This window comes from Homo sapiens, chromosome 9, assembly GCF_000001405.40.
Source record: "Homo sapiens chromosome 9, GRCh38.p14 Primary Assembly".
In the NCBI taxonomy this organism is placed as follows: domain Eukaryota; kingdom Metazoa; phylum Chordata; class Mammalia; order Primates; family Hominidae; genus Homo; species Homo sapiens.
Genome location: NC_000009.12, coordinates 130,777,952 through 130,800,837, shown reverse-complemented (window position 1 = coordinate 130,800,837; position 22,886 = coordinate 130,777,952). Strand labels below are relative to the sequence as shown.

Here is a 22,886-nt window from a genome sequence, read left to right as displayed (position 1 = left end):
CTGTACTATAATAGCCTCAAGTTGGAAGCAATCTAATGTTATCCACTAGTAAAATGGATAAATTGTGAGATATTCATATAATGCAATATTACTCACCAAGAAAAAGAGGAAATGTAAATACATACAACAGGAGTAAATCTCAAAAAAATGATGCTAAGAGTAAAAGAAATCAAATACAAAAGTCTATGATTTTTATATAACTTTTATATGGTTCCATTCATAGGAATTTCTTGAAAAGACAAAACTACAGACACAGAAAGTGGATAAGTGTTTGTCTGGGGCCAGAGGCTGAGGGAAGGAATCCACTGGAAAAAGGCACAGGAAAACTTTTAATGTTGAGAGAACTGTTTTTTGGTTTTGGGTTCTTTTTTTTTTTCAATAGGTTTTTGGGGAACACATGGTGTTTGGTTACATGAATAAGTTCTGTAGTGGTGGTTTCTGAGATTTTGGTGTATCCATCACCAAAGCAGCGTAGAGAACTGTTTTATAATCTTGGCTGTGTTTGAGGTTACATGATTGACACACAGTAATTCACCAAAATGTATACTTAAAAATGGGTGGATATTATATGTAAATAATACCTTAATTTTTTTAAAAGTACTTTAAAAAATAATCACCCAGCCCACATCCTAAAATTCAATAAGTATCTATAAAAATACATTTTATAGTTGGGTGCGGTGGCTCACGTCTGTAATCCCAGCACTTTGGAAGGCTGAGGCGTGTGGATCACGAGGTCAGGAGTTCGAGACCAGCCTGACCAAGATGGTGAAACCCCGTCTCTCCTAAAAAATACAAAAATTAGCCAGGCCTGGTGACAGGTGCCTGTAGTCCTAGCTACTTGGAAGGCTGAGGCAGGAGAATCACTTGAACTGGGGAGGCAGAGGTTGCAGTGAGCCGAGATTGCGCCACTGCACTCTAGCCTTGGCGACAGAGCAAGACTCCATCTCTAAAGAAAAAAAAAAAAGTATAAATATCCCAAAATTTATAAATAAGTATCCTCTCTTGACTAACACACTCTGTCAAGGTAGCGTCCATTATTACACAAAGCTTTTTTTGATTGACAGAGTTCCCTGGAAGTCTCCGAGGAGTTACTATTGGCAAATTTCAATTATATGGTACTTATAAAATAAGTTACACACTTTATCATCATGATATTAATAATGGTCAACACTTCACTTACTGTGTACTTACAATGCCTCAAGCACTTTCTATGCAATATTCCATTGAAATCCCATCAAACCTTTTAAGGAAGTGCCATTATCTAATCCGTATTTTTTTGCAAGATGAAATTGAGGCCATAGGATAAAGTTATTTGCCCAGGGTCACAGCTAACACATGATAGAACCTAGATTAGCACCTAGACTAGGGTATGTCTACCCCTTAGAAGTACATGAAGACTTTCCATGGGTTATTGGACATGGATTACTTTAAAGGAGTAAACTGTCAAACCTCTACCTGCTCTTTGCTCTTTCCTAGTGTCAATCTGCCTGAAACGATGCACCTGTAACCCATCAATAATTCTTTCCCATGGCCCTTTCGTGGTCACACTTCATGCATTTTACAAAAGCAAAGCTCACCTTGCACTTATCCTAAATCTCACTATGGAGCATCTCCGATGGGTGCAAACACCTCCAAGAGGCCAAACGCTGCTCCAAATACTGGCGTAAGTGAAGCCTCCTTTTCTCATGGCACCTTACTTAGCCTACAGCTTTATGACTCCCCTGGCTTTACAGATATTTCTATTAAGGATAAAGCAAAGTGCTCTTCTGAACTCATATACATCATAGAGTGGGTGGTGTGTGTAAAGATGATTTTTGTTTAACCACCTTGCTTCCTCCATTCCCTTCCAATTCTTTTTTTTTTTTTTTTTTGAGACGGAGTCTCTGCCACCCAGGCTGGAGTGCAGTGGCACGATCTTAGCTCACTGCAACCTCCGCCTCCTGGGTTCAAGCAATTCTTCTGCCTCAGCCTCCCGAGTAGCTGGGACTACAGGCATGCCCCACCACACCCAGCTAATTCTTTTTTGTATTTTTAGTAGAGACAGGGTTTCACCATATTGGCCAGGTTGGTCTCAAACTCCTGACCTCGTGATCCACCCGCCTCAGCCTCCCAAAGTCCCAGGATTACAGGCGTGAGTCACCATGCCCGGCCCCCCCTTCCAATTCCTAAAGAATCCGTTGTTACTGTGGGAAGAGGCCTGGAGAACAAAGCCAAGTATGCCATACAAAGGCATGGCAGGACATACTAAGGTACAGGTGCTTTATTTCATCCAGATGAGAAACCATGGCAAAGTGCTGTAGGGTTTTCAAGAAACAGAAAAGCCATGCTGGAAAATACCACTCCATCTCACAGCATGCCTCCTCTGCACTCCCACTATCTCAGTAGTTAGATTAACTTCATAGGAATATGTTACAGACTCCACTGCAAGCGATACTTAATAACCATCACTAATATAGCTTTTCTAAGTCCCACAATTAGTATGGTCCAATGTCTTTCTCTGCCTTTTGTTAATGATGTCCACAAAGTAAATTAAACTGTACTCTGAGAAGCAGAGCCTTCACTTTCATGTATGAGTGTGGGGTAGAATGTTTCAAAACTGCAATGTGGAAAGAAATGTCTCAAATACTCAAAAAGCCAGGAGAAAAAGTTATGAGGGAATATTCAACAAACTTAATAGTGAAGTGATTAAAAAGATTTTTCTTATTTTGTTTTTCAAAAAGCAAATGCTACCTTTGTAATAAAAACAATTTCAATCAAAAAGTATTTGACAGAACAAGAATTAAAAACTAATCTTTTGCCTACTTCTACTATTTCTTCTGGAAGCTGTATCAATTCTGACCTGCTGAAGAAATTAAATCAAGGAGGGGAAGGGGAGAGAAAGAGAGAGGGAAAAAAGTGAAAAGACATGGGGCACAGTCTCTTGATGCAGTGTTTGAACTTGAGAACAGGTCCGTGTTCTTGGAAACAGAAATATGCACCTAGAATCACAACACATCAGCCATGGGAGAAGAATATCCCGTGTTCTTCTATTTGGCAAACTATTCCTATATGGAACGTGTTTGGAATAACTGTCAAACATAGAAAAGGTCTTAGCAACAAAGATTTAAATGTTAACCAGCAAGCTGTTAAATATTTTGTATGGAGTCACCACCTAATACTTAAATACGGAAGCCAGGCGTGGTGACTTGTAATCTCAGCACTTTGGGAGGCTGAGGAGGGCGGATCACTTGAGGCTAGGAGTTCGAGACAAGCCTGGTCAACATGGCAAAACCCTGCCTCTACTAAAAATATGAAAATTAGCTAAGCATGGCGGCACACGCCTGTAGTACCAGCTACTGGGGAGGCTGAGGCACGAGAATCGCTTGAACCTGGGAGGCAGAAGTTGCAGTGAGCTAAGACCATGCTACTGCACTCTAGCCTGGGCAATAGAGCGAGTACTTGTCTCAAAACAAAAACAAAACAAACAAAAAGTATCCTATTCATTAAAATATAATTAATTATAAGCTAAGTTCTCCAAAGACAAGAATAAATCTTACGATAGAATATGACACAACGAAGTTTATTCAAAGTTCTTTTTTTTTTTTTTTTTTTTTTTTTTTTTCGAGATGGAGTCTCACTCTGTCGCCCAGGCTCGAATGCAGTGGCGCGATCTCGGCTCACCGCAACCTTTGCCGCCTGGGTTCAAGCGATTCTCCTGTCTCGCCCTTCCAAGTAGCTGGGATTACAGGCGCTTGCCACCGTGCCTGGCTAATTTTTGTAGTTTTAGTAGAGACAAGGTTTCACCATCTTGGCCACCCTGGTCTTGAACTCCTGATCTCGTGATCCACCCGCCTCAGCCTCCCAAAATGCTGGGATTACAGGCGTGAGCCACTGTGCCTGGCCAAAAAAAAAGTGCCTTTTTTTTTTTTTTTTTTTTTGAGATGAAGTTTCGCTCTTGTTGCCCAGGCTGGAGTGCAATGGCGTGATCTCAGCTCACCGCAACCTCTACCTCCCGGGTTCAAGTGGTTCTCCTGCCGCAGCCTCCTGAGTAGCTGGGATTACAGGCAAAAAAAGTTTTTTTGTTTTTTTTTTAACAAAAGGCAGAGAAAGACATTGTTTTTTGTTTATTTATTTATTTTTTTACCTGTGAGCCCACATCCATAAAGTTAGCAGACTATGTCATAGTCAAGAGACTTTGCTTTATGAACTAGCTGATTTAGTTTGCTCACAAGCTTTGAAAGAGTCTTTTTTTAAAGGCCAAGTTTAAGACACCTTAGACCATAGAAATATGTGTATTTCCTGGCCATTCGATCATTTGAAGGCCAGATTTTATCAAAACAAATGAATCACTGTTTCTCCTTCCTTCATCAGGCTAGCGTGCAGTGGTGTGATTGATCTCGGCCCACTGCAACCTCCACCTCTCAGATTTAAGTGATTTTTGTGCCTCAGCCTTCCAAGTAGCTGGGATAACAGGAACGCACCACCATGCCCAGCTTTTTGTAGAGATGAGGTTTCGCTATGTTGCCCAAGCTGGTCTTGAACTCCTGGGCTCAAGCAATCCACTTGCCTCGGCCTCCCAAAATGCTGGGATTATAGGCATGAGCTATGGTGGCCAGCCAAAAAGTTCTTAATGAGTTGCATATATGTTTTATAAATCCCTATTTTTTATCTTATTATTATTTTTTTGAGACGGAGTCTCACTCCGTGACCCAGGCTGGAGTGCAGTGGCACTATCTTGGCTCACTGCAACCTCTACCTCCCAGGTTCAAGCAATTCTCCTGCCTCAGCCTCCCGAGTAGCTGGGATTACAGGCATATGCCACCACACCCAGCTAACTTTGTATTTTTGGTAGAGACAGGGTTTTAGCCTCGAACTCCGACCTCAGGTGATCCGCCAGCCTCGGCCTCCCAAAATGCTGGGATTAGAGGCATGAGCCACCGCGCCCAGCCTATAAATCCCTATTTTTAAAAGGCACTCTCATAAACATTTTTAAATAAAGTAATATAAACTTGTTTTAGAAAAGTCAGAGCAGGACTACTAGTATCTTATTTTATATTTCTATCCAGTCTTTCCTAAAATTTAAATATTGTGGTATCATACCTAAAATAGAAATGTCTATCCCACTTTAAAACATGTTGATTATTTAATTAGTCCAGCTCTGGCTTTTTTGTTAAGAATTGTTCATGTTTACAAAGTGAAAAATACTCATTCTCTCTTTTATCTGTTTTGTCCATTGAGACTGCTAGACATCAGAATCCCTTAAAGGGGAGACACCTAAGCAACAAAAGAATGTGGTCAGTTTTGCAAAATAAAGTTATCACTTAAACCTTCAAGCTACTGAATACAATCATCAATATATCATAACTGGACACAACGTAATTCATAAGTGTGATGACTTCAAGCAGAAGTTTCTAATCTGTCGTGCGAGCACATATGATACTGTCGGGAAAACACTTTTAAAATTAAGAGCAAAGGAACAGCTACAAGGAACAGACTATTCTGGAACCACTTCCAGGAACAGGCTTTGTTTAAACAAAATGTATTAAGTGAAACCAGCTGTATTAAGGAAAGGTCAGTGCCATCTGAAGTGGAATTCTAAAACCACCCACTTCATAATATCAGGGCATCCTTCCTGTTTTTTGAAGGAAATACTCAGTGGCAAACTAGCTACAGGACCTCAAGGCAAGGAGCAGTTCACCAATGGACAAAAGGCCCAACTGCATGCAAATGGATGCTCACAAGAAACCACTTGGGTAACACTAACTAGGCCAGCCAGCTTTAGGCCTCCATACCAGTCATATCAAGCAGTGCTGAAGAAACGGGAAGGGACTCACGGACAGCAAAAGGGAGATTAATCTACTATTTATGGTGTATTTTTGAGGGTACCAGAAAGAAGAAACCTGCAGTCAGAAATACTCAGTATATTCTGCCCTTTTGAAAGCCAAGTGAGTCCATTGTTCCTGGGGTAAGAGGAACTCTAAAATGCACACTTTTGTCATGTCTAAAAAGTAACACAAATCTCAAGAAGAGTGGAACCTACATTGTAACTAAGGTTCCATTATTTAAAGTCATTTTCCCTAACTTAATAACAAAAGCATAAGAAAGAGCTTGCTCCTTCAAAGACTTTCTCGGGGTAACATAATCTGGGCCTTTATGAAGTCAGGGAACCCCGTCAACAGTGATCACCAGTTATGAAAGCATTTCCCAATGTCTCACCCAATACAGCCAGTAAGACTGTAATCAAAACAATGCAGTTGAGAAATGCAGCCACTAATCATTTTATTTTGGAAACCAATTAGGGAATGATGAAGGAAGGAGAAACAGTGATTCATTTGTTTTGATAAAATCTGGCCTTCAAATGATCGAATGGCCAGGAAATACACATATTTCTATGGTCTAAGGTGTCTTAAACTTGGCCTTTAAAAAAAGACTCTTTCAAAGCTTGTGAGCAAACTAAATCAGCTAGTTCATAAAGCAAAGTCTCTTGACTATGACATAGTCTGCTAACTTTATGGATGTGGGCTCACAGGTAAAAAAATAAATAAAAAATGAAAAATAAAATAAAAACTGCCTACTGGCAGTTACAAACGTTGCAGTTTGCAACGTTTAATTCAACAAGATAGTAATGTGTCATGATCCAATGGCAACAGTCCCCAACCCTTTTGGCACCAGGAACTGCTTTTGTGGAAGACAATTTTTCCACAGACTGGGGATGGGGCCACTGAGGGGTGGTTCTGGGATGATTCAAGTGCATTACATTTATTGTGCACTTTATTTATATTATTATTACATTGTAATATATAATAATTATACAACCCACTGTAATGTAGAATCAGTGGGAGCCCTGAGCTTGTTTTCCTGCAACTAGACAGTCCTATCTGGGAGTGATAAGAGACAATGAGAGATCCTCAGGCATTAGATTCTCACTAGGAGCACGCAACCTGGATCCATCGCATGTACTGTTCACAATAGATTTCATGCTCCTATGAGAAACTAATGCCGCCACTGATCTGACAGGAGGCGGAGCTCAGGCAGTAATGAGTACTATGGGGAGCGGCTGTAAATACAGATGAAGCTTCATTGCTTACCTGCCGCTCACCACCTGCTATACGGCCTGGTTCCTAACAGGCCACAGACCATGACCAGTCTGTGGCCTGGGGATTGGGGACCCCTGATCTATGGAACAGTGGTGGCTTGTGTTTGAAACTGCACTCAATAACTTGGTTTACCTGCCTCTTTTCAAGCAAGCAACACTCAGTACTAAAATTGCAGTCAAAATGTACGACACAGCTTGCACAGACTCTAGTTATTTCTCAGAAAAAATAGTCTGAAACTTCTAAAATGCATAGAGAGGACAATCAGCAAATATCAAAAGTGTGAAGAATGTTCCAATTACAGGAAATCCTGATTAGTATGGATACCACCAATTTAAAATTCATGATAATTAAGGCCCAGTTAGACATCACAATATGTATGCGGAAGAAAGGGGGCAGATGCTGGAGGAGTTGGAGAGGTGATGGGCAAATAGATCTATGGAAAAAACTTTTAAAGAAATCCATCAATACTGACAGGAATACTAAAAATAAGCAAATTCCATGTGAATCTTATTGGCTGATTAAAAAGTATTACCCTTGGCCAGGCGCGGTGGCTCATGCCTATAATCCCAGCACTTTGGGAGACTGAGGCGGGCAGATCACCTGAGGTCAGGAGTTCGTGACCAGTCTGGCCAACATGATGAAACCCCGTCTCTACTAAAAATACAAAAACTAGGTGGGCATGGTGGCGGGCACCTGTAATCCCAGCTACTCGGGAGGCTGAGGCAATAGAATTGCTGGAACCTCAGAGACGGAGGCTGCAGTGAGCCGAGATCGTGCCATTGCACTCCAGCCTGGGTGACAATAGTGAAAATCCATCTCAAAAATAAAAAGTATTACCCTTTGGTAGCATTTTGTAAGCCGTCAGTTTGTAGAGGCAAGATGGTGTTAGTGAAAAAGCACCTGATTAGAAACTAGAAAGCAGCTGCATGGGGTAGTTCTGGGGCTCTGCCACTTTCTAACTTAGTGATTACAGGCAAGTCATTTAACCTCTCTGAGGATCTTAGCTCTACAGTAGGGACAACATCTGTCATCTCAAAGACATCAAATGAGATGTCATACGATCAAATTTGCCAAGTGTGGTGACGTAAACAAAAGGTACCATATTATTTGAACTATCTCTTGAAATGTCCTACTCAACATTTTTCACGCATCTTAAACCCTCTTATACCCTCCCCCAATTCCGTACTTCTTCTCCTTGTGCCATTCAGGGTCCCAGGTCAGAAATCACATCTGACATGGCTCCTGGTGTGTCATGGAGAAAGGGGGAGAACTGAAGGACTCATAGGACCACTAGGGGTAGGGAAGTAGCTGATGGGAACTGGAAAGGGAAAAAAAGCATCAAGATGAGGAGGAATGAAATTAAAGTCATCCTGTCCCTGGCAACACTGCCAAGACTCACTTATGTTACCATGCGAGCTACCATGTGAACTTGAAGGGCAGAAAGTAAAATCCTCTAGTTGAGCAAACAACTCAGTGGCAAGAGAAAGGAAAAATGACACATTAGCAGTGGGAAGCTTAAAGTCCTGGAGGCTGTAAGACTCGACGTGTAAATGGTGGTGTGTCCTGGGAAAAAGGTAGGCCTTCTCCCAAAATGAGCCCCAAGGGACCCTGTGTCTACTTCCTGGGTGAAAATGAAATTCTGTCGTTAACTTGATTTCTTTCTTGCATCCTGTCTCGGTTTAAGTCTAGGCTTGGTTCTGAACCAAGTGTGATCTTTAGGCAAGTTAATGCATCTCTCTGGATCAACTTAATGTTGTCTTAAATTTTAAACCTTCCTTCTTGGTGTCATTTCCCTTCTTCTTGAGGATGTTCTTTAGTGATGGTATTAGTCAGCATTCTCCAAAGGGACAGAACTAATAGGATATATGTATATATGAAAGGGAGTTTATTTGGGAGAACTGGCTCACATGATTACAAGGCAAAGTCCCACGATATGAGGTCTGCAAGCCGGGAAAGAGAGCTCGTAGTGGCTCAGTCCGAGTCTGAAAGCCTCAAAACCAGGGAAGCCAACAGTGCAGCCATTAGTCTGTGGCAAAAGCCCAAGAGCCCCTGGCAAGCCACTGGTACAAGTCCAAGAGTCCAAAGGCCTTAGAACCTGGAGTCTTATGTGGACGGGCAGGAGGAGTGGGAGGAAGCATCCAGGATGGGAGAAGGAAGGAAGCCAGGAGACTCAGCAAGCTTATCCCACCTTCTTCTGCCTGCTTTGTTCTAGCTGCACTGGCAACCAACTGGATGGTGCCCACCCACGTTGAGGGTGGGTCTTCCTCTCCTAGTCCCCCAGCTCAAATGTCAGTTTCCTCTGGCAACACCCTCACACACACACCCAGAAACAATCCTTCAACCCAATCAAGTTGACACCTAATATTAACCATCACAGTGATGAATTCTCAGCAGTAAATTCTTTTTGTTTTTATTTATCTAATGTCTTTATTTCACTTCGTTCTCATTATTTAAAGGCTGTTTCATGGCTACACAATTCTAGATCAACAGTTATTTTCACTGCCTACTTTGAAAACACTGTTTCAGTAGTTCCACTCTTGGTATAGAAAAGCCAGCTGGCATATGAATTGTTGTTCCTTTGTAGGTAATCTGTCTTTTCTCTCTTCCTATTTTTAAGAATCGTTTCTGGTTTTGATGTTCTATAGGTTCACAGGTTTACTGATATGTTTAGACATGAATTTCTTTCCTTTCCTTCTTTGCCGCTTTGGAATTTGATGGGCTTCCTGAACCAGAGAATTTTTGTCTCTCATTACCACCCTTAGAACCTGTTCCAAGAGAGGCCCCTACCCTAGATTCTATAATTTAAAAGACTCCACCTCTCCCCACAGGGCAAGGGGCCTGAAGGCCCAAGGAGATGCACCCACCCTGAGTCTGATCACCATATTCTAGGTATCCAGGATCCTGGAATTCCCTACTTAATTGAATCCATGCCCACATTCAGGACTTGCATGGGCCTTTTCCACAGGTCTATTATCAAAGTGGAATGCTGGCCCGACACAGTGGCTCATGCTTGTAATCCCAGCACTTTGGGACGCTGAGGCAGAAAGAGTGTTTGAGGCCATGAGTTCAAACCCAGCCTGGGCAGCACAGCGAGACCCTGTTGCTACAAAAAATAAAAATAAAAAAAAAATACTAGGTGTGGTAATTAATGTAGTCCCAACTACTCAGGAGGACTGCATGAGTCCAGAAGTTCAAGGCTGTAATGAGCTATGATCAGACCACTGCACTCCAGCCTGGCCAACAGAATGAAACCCTGTCTCTAAATAAATAAATAAATAAATAAATAAATAAATAAAATAAAAATGAAAGAAAGTAGAATGCACCAGCATACGGGCATAGGCCAGAGTTGCCACCTACAAGCATGCTTGTGAGGAGCGTGAACACAGCTTAGATATGCAGGCTGAAGTATGTACACATGTGTGCATGAGGCCCCTCACAGCATGGATAAAGCTGCGGGAAGAAAGACAAAAGGGTGGGGGCCACAGGCGAAGGTCTGGCTCACTCTGTGCTGCTATGTGCCAGCATAGAGCTCTGTGGAGTTCAAGAACTCTACATTTAAACCTCATCTTCTAGAGTATCAGAGAGACATATTTGTCAAGGTAGGAGTATAGACATATTTTATTTCACAGTCTGTCACATTTGTAACTTTTAAATATTTAGACATGGCCTATGGGCCTCCGTTTAAACTGTTGTGCTAGCTTCCACAAATGACAGACAAAGGCCTGTTGTTCATCAATTGTGAAGATTCTCACTCATTATCTGTTTCAATATTCTCTCTTTGCCATTCCCTGTAGTATCTTCTTCTGGAACTCCAATTAGACATAAGTTGGACCTTCTCACTATATCTCTGAGCCTCTCGTGGTTTACATCCCTTTGTTTCTATTAGCTTCAGTCTGTGTTATTTCTTCAGACTTATCTTCTAGTTCACTAATTCTGGTTTCTGCTGTTTCTATTCTAACATTTAACCAATCCATAAATTTTTTATCTCAATGATTATGCTTTTTACTTCTGAACATTATATTTGATTTTTAAAAATAAAACTGCCTGGTTGTTTTTGATGTATCTCTCTCTTTCCTCATATTTTCAATTCCTTCTTTTGCTTCCCCAAAGGTAGTAAATTAACTTATAGTCTATATTCAATATTTCCAATATCTGAAATTGTCAGGAACAACTATTGTTTCTACTGACTCTTGCGCATGATATCTTGTTTCAGGGTGTGTGTGTGTGTGTGTGTGTATGTCCTTTTTTGGTGTGTTCATATTGGCTGCAATGATCTATGGAAACTCTGAGTTAGGGAAGACTTAAACTTGCTTTTGTCAAGCACCCAGGGATGGTAAAAACCTAGGTCCACTCTAAATCAAGATTTCCAACTTGCAGCTATTGGAGGTCACACAGATAGGATAAAACCAGTTTCTACACCCATGTGGGAGCAGCTGGTCAGCAGCCACAAGTTCTCATGTGATTTTTTTTCTTTGCCCTCCACTCAAAGTGAAAGCTCAGACAGAAATATTCCTTTCTGATTGATACTGTGTAATGTGCTTCTCCCCCGTACATTTTCTCTCTGATGGTGTAGCCTCTCTGAGGTATTAGCTTTATGAGAAACGGTCTTGGATCACTGATCCCTTTCTCCACTCTAAGAGAACCCAAGGTTTGTATTTTATGTTTCATGAGGAGCAGGTTACTTATATGGTCACAAAATGTCTCCCCACAGATTGCTTTTTAGATGCAAGAGGTTTCAGGAAATCACAGGGAGAAAAAGTTAAGGGAAAAAACAAAAACCGAAAAGCAAATAGATGCAAGAGGAAAACTAGCAACTATCCAATGAAGGAACCAGACAGTACCTTGACTAAATAATCAAAATTAATATCATTAACGACAGGCAGAAAGACAAGGTATGCAAATGGATGTAACACCATGAGAAAGATACAGCATTACTTCTGTAATATTCTAAAACAGAAATGTGTAACTTGAATCTAATAGTAAGGAAACATCAAACAAACTGAAACTGAAATGTTCCAGCCAAAATTGAAAAACATTCTATACAATAACTGCTCCATGTCCTTGAAAAATACCAATGTCATGCAAGGCAGAGAGACTGAGGAACTGTTCCAGCTTACAGGATATTAAAGATCATGACAAATTAATGCAATCCATGATCCAGGACTGGATCCTACACCCAAGGGGGTAATTGCTAGAAAGGACATTACTGGGAGAATTGAGGAAATTGGAATACGGATTTTAGGTTAAATAAAAATATTCTATCAAAGTTAAATTTCCTAAAGTTAATAATTATACTATAGTTACATAAGAGAAGATCCTTGTTCTTACAACATACACTTGAAATATTAAGGGATAAAAGGACAAAATGTTGTGACCTACTCCCAAATGATTCCGAAAAACAAATTTTATACCCATACACATATAGAAGGGGGGAAATGGTAAAGCAAATGTAATGTAGCAATACGTTAAAAATTGATGACTCGAACTAAGTAAAGGACATGTAGGAATTCTCTGTACTATTCTTGTAAATTTTCTGTAAGTTTGAAATTATTTCAAAATACAAAGTAAAACAGGGGTGTTCAAACTTAAACCAATGGTGGATGTGGAAAACAGAGTAACTATACATACAGTATTTGTATTAGCAAACTGCACTGATCTGTGAGGAACCTAAATTTTATTTTACTTACATAATTCTGCTGAGGGACAGGTGAAGAAATAGAGTTCTACTCCCCTTGCTTAAGATGCAGAAAGCCATAAGAGAACTTTCAACCCAACAAAAAGAAAAAGCCAGATAATCAACAAAATCCTAACTTTTCTTGAGCTAATCAGAGAGCTGAGGCCACAAGGCCATCAGGTGAACTGAATTCTAATCAGTGACAAATCCCTCCAAGGAGAAATGGGACACGCAAACCCTGTGACCCTTCACAGAGCACAGGAGGAAGATGAGGCTGCCATGTCAACAGGTGACGGGAAAACATCTCAATTTTTAATGAATTCTTATGGAGCTGAGCATGGGCTGGTGTAACACTAGAATTCCTGTCTGAACTCACTTGCAAACCCTTTTCCATGGGCCACTACCAGGTGCTCGTGACGACGACTGGGAGCAGAGCACGAGGCTGGAGAGAGCACCCCTCAATACCGGACTCGGGTAAAATCTTGCCTCCTTCCTGAGCCCCTCTCTCAGACCTAATGCAAAAGCCGTAATCCACTGGGGGAAGGGCAAGAAACCTTCCCTGTCCCCGGGACCCAGGCAAAGATCTGCTGCTCCTGGGGGTGAGGTACCAGCAAATATGATCGTCTGCTGGATTCTGCACTGATACAATGCAAAAGTCAGCTTCGGGTGGGGTTGGGGGGAAACGTGGGAAATTCTCTCTCACACGGGAGCTCACACCACACACACACACAAACACACACACAGAAGGCAGAGTCCAGGTGGCATGGAGGGTGAAAGCACACAATGCTAAGAAAGCCCTATCCTGAAGTCCAGGCACACAGTACCTGCCTAAGATGGAGTCAGACTAAGAGAACCAAGAAAGTCCCCATCCTCTTACCATGAGCCTGGCTCCAAGTAAAGAGCAACAGCAGTTCCCCACTGGGGCAATGACACGGGCAGGCTACGAGTAAAAGGATGGGAAAAGGTGTATTATGCAAGCGTGATCAAAAGAAAGCTGAAGTGCCTATCAGACAAAGTAGACTCAGAGCAAGGAATATTGCAGAGCCTAAGGAGAAACAGCATATAATGATAAAGAGATCAATGCAACAAAAAGCCATGGTGGCCCTGACCTAAGAAAAGAGCTTCAAAAATACAAAAAGAAATCACAGAAATAAAAGTCGTGATTTAGTCCTTATTTTAATTCTGACTAGTTTTCCGATACTTTTCTTCCATCCTTATTGGTCCAAGATGTTTTTTTCACTTATTAAGTTACTATATCATAACAGAACTTTAAAGTGAATAACTAATTGCAAAGTGTGGCATATCTTCATTGCAGTACTGTTTGTGTTGGCAAAGTCACTTAAATGCCCTTCTATGACAAGCTGGCAGAGCTGCTTGCCGCACTAGGGAAGGAGGAGGAAATGACAGCAGAGGAGCTTCATCCAGACAGAAAGATGTAGAAGGGTCCAGCCCTTCCCTCACATCAGGGTGCAAAGAGTAGGAGGCAGTCAAACATGTATCATCACTTCCCTGCCCGCAAATTCCGAGGAAGAGGTGATGTACCAGTCAGGAGACAGAAACCACACCAGTCATTTCAATAGGGAAAATTTAATAAAAGAATTATTAACAAAAAGTAGATACTGCTAAGAGAGCGTTCTGTGTTTTCTGAGATTCTGTATTCATCTATTTGGCATCCATTAGTCTAATCACAGGGTCAAACTCACACACAGCCAAAGCTGTTTCCGTCTCCCCTGCCACCCAGAGCCCATTCTCTGAACCACCTCCTTATCTAACTCTCACACACAGAGCCAATATTTCTCCTACCCTAAATCACCCAGAGCTAGGAACCAGACAACGAGGGACGGCCCTCTGCCCCAGGGCCCCCCAGAATTATCCAAAATAGCCAATCCTCAGATGTTTCCCTGGCCCTGTCTGGCCTTTCCCACAGAAGCCCAACAAAGGCTCTGGCCTGGGCGTTCCCCCAGCTCCTTTCTGCCCTGTGGATGGTGCTTCCCCATGTGCCTGTGTGGTGTGGCGTGGCATGCTCCCCTCTTGGAAATGGAAGTAATAAACATTTTCCATTTTCTTTTATTGGGATTGGCCTTTCTGTGCCATCACTCAATAACCTCCACAGACTGAAGTCCCACAGGAGATTTTTTTTTTTTTTTTTTTTTTTTTTTAGTTTTGAGACAGAGTTCCAGAATGTCGCCCAGACTGGAGTGCAGTGGCACGATCTCAGCTCACTGCAGCCACCATCTCCCGGGTTCAAGCGATTCTTGTGCCTCAGCCTCCTGAGTAGGTGGGATTACAGGCATGCACCACCATGCCCAGCTAATTTTTGTATTTTTAGTAGAGACGGGGTTTCACCATGTTGGCCAGGTTGCTCTCGAACTCCTGACCTCAAGTGATCTGCCCGCCTTGGCCTCCTGAAGTGCTGGGATTACAGGTGTGAGCCACCACGCCCGGCCGAGATTTTTAACAAATGACAGAAGAGTAAAAGAGGACCCAGGGGTACAGAAGTAGCAAATGAACAAAGTGTCTACTACTTAGAGCCCACTATATTACTATGTGTCTTAAAAAGGGCAGGTAGAGTGAAGAGGGAGGAACTAAGAACTTAGGAGAGCCTCCCCCAACCCCAAAGCTGAGATTCAGACTCTTCAGAAAGGGCACAGCTCCACAGGAACACACAGCATGCCGGTGGCAAACATGCTTGTCAGAGGGCGTGATCCAGAGCTGGCCCAGGGCAGCAGCCCACCACGTGGTGGAGAAACTCCCTGCAGGGTGTGTGTGGTTGGAGCTGGTGCACGGTACCACCCACTGGGCTGTCTATGATGGCTGATATGTGTTTCTGGGCATCTTGCACGCCAGTCCACTGATACTCACTCACCAGTGAAAATCAGCACACTGGGAAAGGACGCCCTCCTCCCACCATGACCTTGCCATGTCCCTCCAGCACTCTGTTGACAAAGCCTAACACCTCGCCAGCAGGCAAAGGAAAACTGTTGACAGAGTCCAGTTCCCATGTCACGAAACATGGCAAAGCAGAATGGATTTGGAGATAACAAGCAAGAAATTGATAACTAGCACAGGTGGGGAGAGGGTAGACTGGTCGTCAGGTTGAAGGGAAGGCACTGGGGCTTTTGCCCCACTTCCTAATTGAAACTCTAGGAGAAGACCACCTCGCAGATGCAACCTTCCACTCATCCCAACACGGATGGCTACAGAATAAAATGGCCGTGTTGCATGGCCTTATGCAGGGGAAGCATCTCGGTTTTAGCACTCTAAGCCTCCTGTAGCTTAACTAGTAAGAAAGAGAGTGAAGTTCCACTTGGAAGCCATGACATCTGCTGCAGGGTGAATGTACCAAAAGGAAGCAAGGACAGTTCCCTGGCCCTGATGGAGACAAAAGAAAAAAATTCAAGACCACCAACCACACTTCAGGGGATACCTGCGAAAGGCCCAGGGACCAGACCAGACCAGACTAGATGAGCAAAGGCAGCAAGCATAGGCCAGGGCCTCCCTCACCTCCACAAAAATCTCACAATCCCCCAAGACCAGATGCTGGTTTTTAATGGGGGATGGCAGGATATATGAAAAAATCCAGAATTTACCCAAAAGATACTGTTTAAGCCAAAAGAATATAAGACCTTATTAACTGGCCAAAATACCACTCTTTGCTTCTCCCCATTTCTAGATGATGACTTATGAGGAAGACAGATTGGTGATTTTTTTAAATGCTGTAATTTCTCTGCACAGCTAAGTAGCAGTATATAAACCTATAACCCCACTATATTACTATATGTCTTTAAAAGGGCAGGGGTTGGGGGGACAAAAAAACACAGAAATTTGTATATTCGTAGAATATTATACTTCTTCAAATCGAAGATGCCACTGCAAGAGGTGCCTTTATTTTATGTATCACTAAATCATGTGCCAATTAAACCATGGCATTATATTGCTTTTAAGATGTACCCTGATTTTAGAGATTTTTTTTAAAAATGAGAAATAATGTACATTTTAGAATCAATTAAAGTGGCCCTGGAGAAATACAGAAGAAACTAGCAAGATGGGACTTACTGTTTATCAAGCGTCTTTTCTTGGTTGCTTGAATTTCCTTACCTTGTGGACGTTTTCTTAAAAACACACATGCACAAGCTGGGTGCTGTGGCTAATCCCTGCAATCCCAGCACTTTGGGAGGCCGAGGTGGGCAGATCACCTGAGCTCAGGAGTTCGAGACCAGCCTGGCCAACATGGTGAAACCCCGTCTCTACTAAAAATACAAAAATTAGCTGGGCGTGGTGATGCCCGCCTGTCATCCCAGCTACTCGGGAGGCTGAGGCAGGAGAATCGCTTGAACCCAGGAGGCAGAGGTTGCAGTGAGTGGAGACTGCGCCACTGCACTCCAGCCTGGGCGACAGAGCGAGACTCTGTCACAAAAAAAACAAAAAACAAACAAACAAACAAACAAAAAACACATGCACAAACTTCCACAGTGTTCACCTTAAATTCTGTCCTTAGAAGACAGCCTTGTCATTCTCAATTTGAGGGGAGACCTTACATTCCTACCTAGACACTTTCTAATTCCAACAAATATTTCTAATTCACAGCCACTTACATTCAAATCCAAATGTAATCTACTGCTCGACTTTGCAATTCAGGATATATCCTTTTGGTCCCCCGTTATCAGAATACATCTTTATGAACTAGCAAAGGATGCACTCCCTAAAGCTCTTGTGATTACTGCCAAGCTAAGTGTCCAAGCTAACACAGAGTAAACAATCACAGCCTCCATCTCATCAGGTCTCCAGAGTTCACATCAAGGATGCCAAAAAAAACACACAATTGATTTAATATTCCACACGAGAGTTACACTTAACACTGGGTGGTTATTTTTTACTTCACAGAAGTCTTCAGCTCCATGAATAACTCCACAGGCCATCTAATCCATCTTAAATTCACCAAATGGGTCATAATTAAAATATTACTGATACCTGGAGGATTCTGAATATGGACTGTATATCAAATAATGTTCCTGGATCAGTGTGGATTTCCTTAAGTGTGGCAATGATGTGATGGTGTAAGAGAGTGTTCTTGTTCTTGGCTATCGTGAGTATATAGCCAATTTCCAAGTGGACTGGTAAAAGGGAAATGTTTCTATGTAAGAGAGATAGCAAGTGTTAAGAGTTGATGAATCTAGGTGCATTGTTCTTTCAACTTTATAGGTTTGATGATTTTCATTGGAAATGTTTAAGAAAATAAAAACAACAATAAATGCTCTTGGTAAGTACAATCTGTCCTTCCCAACATCCTCAGGGAACAGAATTCCACAACTTCCCACGAAGCCAATCCAGCTGCAGCATCTTAGCAAGGACAGTCACCACCACAGCGGCAGCAGCAGCAGCTAACAGATGCTGGGGCTCTGCGCAGGCATGCTAAGACCTTCAGCGCATTATATCTTGGCATGTTCTCATTAATCCTATGAGGTGGGTGTGTGTTATCAACATTCACATCTCACAGGTGTGGGAGCCAAAGCTTCAGAGGGGTAACACGGTTAATGGTGTGATCCCACCCAAGTTAAGGGGAAAGCCAGGATTTAAAACTGGGTAGACAAACTTTGGAGCCCCAGGCTCTAAATTTACCCCTACCAGTCTCTTCAAACTTGGGTCAGGATCCATTCTTAGTCATGAGATCCACTACTAATGAGTCACAGCCTATCTTTTTCAAAATGAAATAAAATAGAAAATATCGGCCAGGTACAGTGGCTCACGCCTGTAATCCCAGCACTTTGGGAGGCCAAGGCAGGCGGATCACTTGAGGTCAGGAGTTTGAGACCAGCCTGACCAACATAGCAAAACCCCGTCTCTACTAAAAATACAAAAAAATTGGCCAGGCATGGTGGCGCATGCCTGTAGTCCCAGCTACTTGGGAGGCTGAGACAGGAGAACTGCTTGAACCTGGAAGGTGGAGGTTGCAGTAAGCCGAGATCACACCACTGCACTCCAGCCTGGGCAACAGAGTAAGACTGTCTCAAAAAAAAAAGAAAAAGAAAAAGAAAATATCACTCACTGTGCTCCACAATAAGGAAAAGTACTAATCCAGACCTTCTTCAGCTGTATATGTACATATATGCATATGTGTGAATGTGATGTATATACGTACATGTATGTGTGCATATGTGAATGCTAAGTCATAACTGAATATGTATTCCTCATATGGGTCACAATGCTTGAAAGCCACTGCATTATTCTATATTACCTCCTCCTCTTCTCTCATTTCCTGCCCAGAAGCCTCACTGTTTAGGAAACTAAATGGGGAAAAAAAAAATACAGATTTAGATGGTTAAGGGGAGAATTCCACTGGGAATTATCTAATCTCAAAATAAGCCAAAATAATATACTTTTAGTACACACTAATAGATAATAATGCAGCTGGCAAATCTGGTAATATAAAAGACATATTTTCAAATAGGAATTTGGATAATCCCCTTGGTGTTTGTTACAGTAAGATGTTATCTGGAATTCTATTAAAAGATTATCAATTTAAAAGTCAAGCTGAAACTGCATATATAAATATGGTCAATGGTTAAAATCAGAGGAAGATTCTTCTCTGGCAATTCTTCTCCACTGAAAATCCAAACGCATGTCAACATGACTGAGGGTCAAGAATGTTCAAAGAAAACTATTGTGACATTGCGGGAGGAGTCCAAAAGCAGCTAAGAGTGCGTGTGTGCCTGAGGGTGGGGATGGGGCACCCACACGGGCAAGTGAGAGGTGGAGAATTACTGTACCAGTGCCCTCCCAAACCAATCACCCTACTGTGTATCCTGTTTCAAAAGGCTAAATGGGAAAAGCAAAGAAAAAAATCATTCTACATGTGTTTAAGGTACGCCACTCAAGAAGGGTTTTCTGTGAATTAATCTTACCATTACCAAATGAAGTCATAGGAAGAATGTGCTATGTCTTTAAATCCATGGCTATTTTTCATTCCAAGTTTCTGTTTGGGGCCATTACTGCTCTCTTGGGACTGCGTTGACTCACTGCGTCTTCAGAATGACGCAAGTGAGGTTCTCTGCACAACTTCAAAACAGGCTGAATATATCCAGCAAAGGCTGGCTTCAGAGCCAACAGACCAATCAGGCACCCATTTGCAGAGTCGCTAGAACCAGGCAGGAGATGGGAACACTCTCCTCATTTTCAGTTTCATTAGGGTCTGATCACCTTCTTCAACAGGCAAAACAATTTGACTGTCTTAAAACAATCTTTTCTTAATTTGCCCGTTCTCTTTAGGACCACATTTCCACCTTCACTGCCCACTCAGAATCCTATCTACTTTCTTGGACTTACTTGGTCATATGGTAAGAAAAGAATGGAAACAAGAATTCCAGCCCAAATGTCTCCAGTGCTGAGTATCCCACATTTCTGGAGCTCCCTCCTCTCAACTTTTTTTTATCTAAATAAAAGAAAACTCCTCCTTCCTGGTGTCAGCCAGGCAGAGGAGAGAGGGAGATGAGGGAAGAGGGAGGAGAAAGGGGACAATTCGCCTAGAAATAGCAGGTACGAGTACAGATACGAGGTGAGCACTATCCAAAAACGAAAGTTGCAAGAGTTTTCATCTGGAGACTGGTCAGATCCAGACAGCTCCAAGATCAGCCCCAATATCACAAAGGTAAATATGGCTTCATCTGCATGGCCTGGATCCAGATAACCTCAGCATCACCTGGTTCACCGTATGGCTTCTTCCTAAAACAGCCAAAAGCCAGAGGAAAATGTGTTTGCTTTTTTTTGAAGTGGTTCACAAAATGGGCTGTTCAATTTCTTTTTTGAGACTGAGTCTCACTCTGTCGCCCAGGCTGGAGTGCAGTGGTGTGATCTTGGCTCACTGCAACCTCTGCTGCCTGGGTTCAAGCGATTCTCCTGCCTCAGCCTCCAGAGTAGCTGGGATTACGGGTGCCTGCCACTGCGCCCGGAGTATTTTTTTGTAGTTTTTAGTAGAGAAGGGGTTTCACCATCTTGGCCAGGCTGGTCTTGAACTCCTGACCTCGTGATCCAGCCACCTCGGCCTCCCAAAGTGCTGGGATTACAGGCGTGAGCCACCGCGCCCGGCCCAGGGCTGCTCACTTTCACACAGTGCTCTTTTTAAGAACATCCAAATTATAAAAGGCATCCATGGTGCCTGAAAGCAGAGTGGCTCTATTAATACAATGGCAGAGCAGCTGTAACTAATTAAACCTCTAGTAACCAAGCTAGCTGTCAGGTTTGCCCGCAGTATCCCTCAAAATCAGATGCAACTTCACCATATTTCTGTCTTATCCTTACCAAGATAATAGCTACCTAAAAGCATCAAGAGTATGACATTTGTTTTAAACCTAAAGTAACTCCCCACATAACACGTTACTTATATGGCATATAGGTTTGCTGTGTGTGCGTTTCTGGAGCAGCCTTGTTTGTTTAGTCAAGGCATTTCACCATCAAACATACCATTGCCAATCCAGTTCCCTCTAGAAATTTATAACCTCCCCCTCCCCAAGCATAAAGGGCTAAATGTATAGAGGACTAAACAGTATGAGGTCTTTAGCGTTGGGGAATAAAGACTTTAATATATCTCAAGATTTTACAGACTTTGTTTCAGAGGTGAAATGTACTGCGTTATGCCATAAATCAGCAAGCCCTAATGTCAAATAAAAAAATGGTGGGGGGCAGCACAGAGGCAAGAAGGATGGAATTTTTATAGTAAACAACCTTGCCATCATGAACGATGACTGTTATTAAACTGTGCTGCTGCTTTTCCAGTATCTTTCTTTCTCCCTCTGTGGATCTTCGTTGCCCTAACTACCATTTGACTCATCTTAACAAATGGCACACACATCTCCGGTGCAGTCGCTGCCACTCTGTGACTCCAGATTGGCTTTCACTCACCTGGCAGTGGCTTAGGCCAAAGACTGTGATCACCTCACAGCTGCAGGACTCTTCTGCACACAAGTAATTAGAAACTGATTCTAAGACGACATTCTTTAAAAGCCATAGTTCTTATCAGTATCTGATAATATTTAAATCTCACTTATCCTAATTCTCGATTAACTGGAAAGTTTTTCTTCCCTATTTGCCACAAATGTTTTTACTTTCAAGGAGAAAATGAAAAAACTGCAAAATACAAGGGACTTTTAAACAATTCTAAACAAGTTAAAGCTAAATCTCTAGGGGTTAAAGTATATTTGGTTGAATGGGCTGTGTTTTTCCTACCCGTAGGAATCCATAATATCACAGGAATTGAAATGATGCCTCTGGGGCTCCCGGTCAAGATGGTGGACTGAGCACATGCACTCATCCCCCTCCTGCCTGTGACCCCTTTAAATTACAGCCAAGGAGTAAAAAAGGTATAAACCACGACAATGGTGAGAACAGAGAAGCTGTCATCATACTAGATATTTCAACAAACTGGGGGATCTGAAAGTGGATGGGCAAGCATTGCTTGGCAAAGGAGAGCAGAGGAATTCACAGGTGAGGATCAAGCCCATCTGCCCAGAAGAGCCCCAAACATGAAGATGGCAAGTGCAGTGGAGGAAGGGAGTGAGACACAGAGGGCGGGGGAAAACCAGGGATCATACGTCTGTATATGAAGCGGCAGCCAGCCAAGGCACACGCCTGACCCACTTCTCCACCTCCTCACCCCCAGCAAGGAGGGGTCTTCTCTGAAGAACATAAAGTTTGGAAAGTATTAATGCAGTGTGTCAGTGTCCCAACACAAAGCCCTGAGAGGTTCCTCAATTCCCCTGCTCACAGTCTAGAAAGTACTAATGCAGTGAGTCAGTGTCCCAACACAAAGCCCTGAGAGGTTCCTCGATTCCCCTGCTCACAGTCTAGAAAGTACTAATGCAGTGAGTCAGTGTCCCAACACAAAGCCCTGAGAGGTTCCTCGATTCCTCTGCTCACAGTCTAGAAAGTACTAATGCAGTGTGTCAGCGTCCCAACACAAAGCCCTGAGAGGTTCCTCGATTCCCCTGCTCACAGTCTACAAAGTACTAATGCAGTGTGTCAGCGTCCCAACACAAAGCCCTGAGAGGTTCCTCGATTCCCCTGCTCACAGTCTAGAAAGTACTAATGCAGTGTGTCAGCGTCCCAACACAAAGCCCTGAGAGGTTCCTCGATTCCCCTGCTCA

The 22,886-nt window shown here is 42.6% G+C and overlaps 1 protein-coding gene and 1 long non-coding RNA gene across 3 annotated transcripts in view, besides 6 other annotated features; one reads left to right on the top strand and one right to left on the bottom strand.

Annotated features, from left to right (window-relative positions):
- The window catches only part of LOC124902288 (uncharacterized), a 34,793-nt gene extending 16,623 nt beyond the window's left edge, over nucleotides 1–18,170 (top strand). Inside the window, exon 3 of one of the 2 annotated variants that reach the window (XR_007061823.1) lies at nucleotides 18,044–18,170. This is a non-coding gene — a long non-coding RNA (uncharacterized LOC124902288). Of the gene's footprint in view, nucleotides 1–13,157; nucleotides 13,334–18,043 lie in introns of those variants that run through there. The other variant, XR_007061824.1, reaches the window with a different exon arrangement.
- The window catches only part of ABL1 (ABL proto-oncogene 1, non-receptor tyrosine kinase), a 174,633-nt gene that overhangs the window by 86,838 nt on the left and 64,909 nt on the right, over nucleotides 1–22,886 (bottom strand). The gene's annotated exons all lie outside the window — the stretch shown is intronic.
- Nucleotides 1–22,886: part of a biological region, named in NCBI's record as "ABL breakpoint recombination region", that runs on past both edges of the window. NCBI's record gives its function as "recombination_partner: LOC107963947 | LOC107963948 | LOC107963951 | LOC107963955 | LOC107966121 | LOC107966125".
- Nucleotides 1–22,886: part of a mitotic recombination region, noted in NCBI's record as "ABL minor-breakpoint recombination sub-region recombines with the BCR-ABL minor-breakpoint cluster region, producing the e1a2 transcript", that runs on past both edges of the window. NCBI's record gives the evidence for it as "EXISTENCE:nucleotide sequencing assay evidence [ECO:0000219][PMID:20703256]".
- Nucleotides 1–22,886: part of a mitotic recombination region, noted in NCBI's record as "ABL major-breakpoint recombination CML sub-region recombines with the BCR-ABL major-breakpoint cluster CML sub-region within the BCR-ABL major-breakpoint cluster region, producing the e13a2 and e14a2 transcripts", that runs on past both edges of the window. NCBI's record gives the evidence for it as "EXISTENCE:nucleotide sequencing assay evidence [ECO:0000219][PMID:20703256]".
- Nucleotides 1–22,886: part of a mitotic recombination region, noted in NCBI's record as "ABL major-breakpoint cluster ALL sub-region recombines with the BCR-ABL major-breakpoint cluster ALL sub-region within the BCR-ABL major-breakpoint cluster region, producing the e13a2 and e14a2 transcripts", that runs on past both edges of the window. NCBI's record gives the evidence for it as "EXISTENCE:nucleotide sequencing assay evidence [ECO:0000219][PMID:20703256]".
- Nucleotides 4,107–6,525: a sequence secondary structure, noted in NCBI's record as "region with an inverted repeat containing 243 nt of perfect identity separated by nearly 2000 nucleotides [PMID:23588714]".
- Nucleotides 18,878–18,944: a meiotic recombination region, noted in NCBI's record as "this region was identified as a recombination hotspot within the HapMap CEU and YRI populations". NCBI's record gives the evidence for it as "EXISTENCE:nucleotide sequencing assay evidence [ECO:0000219][PMID:20981099]".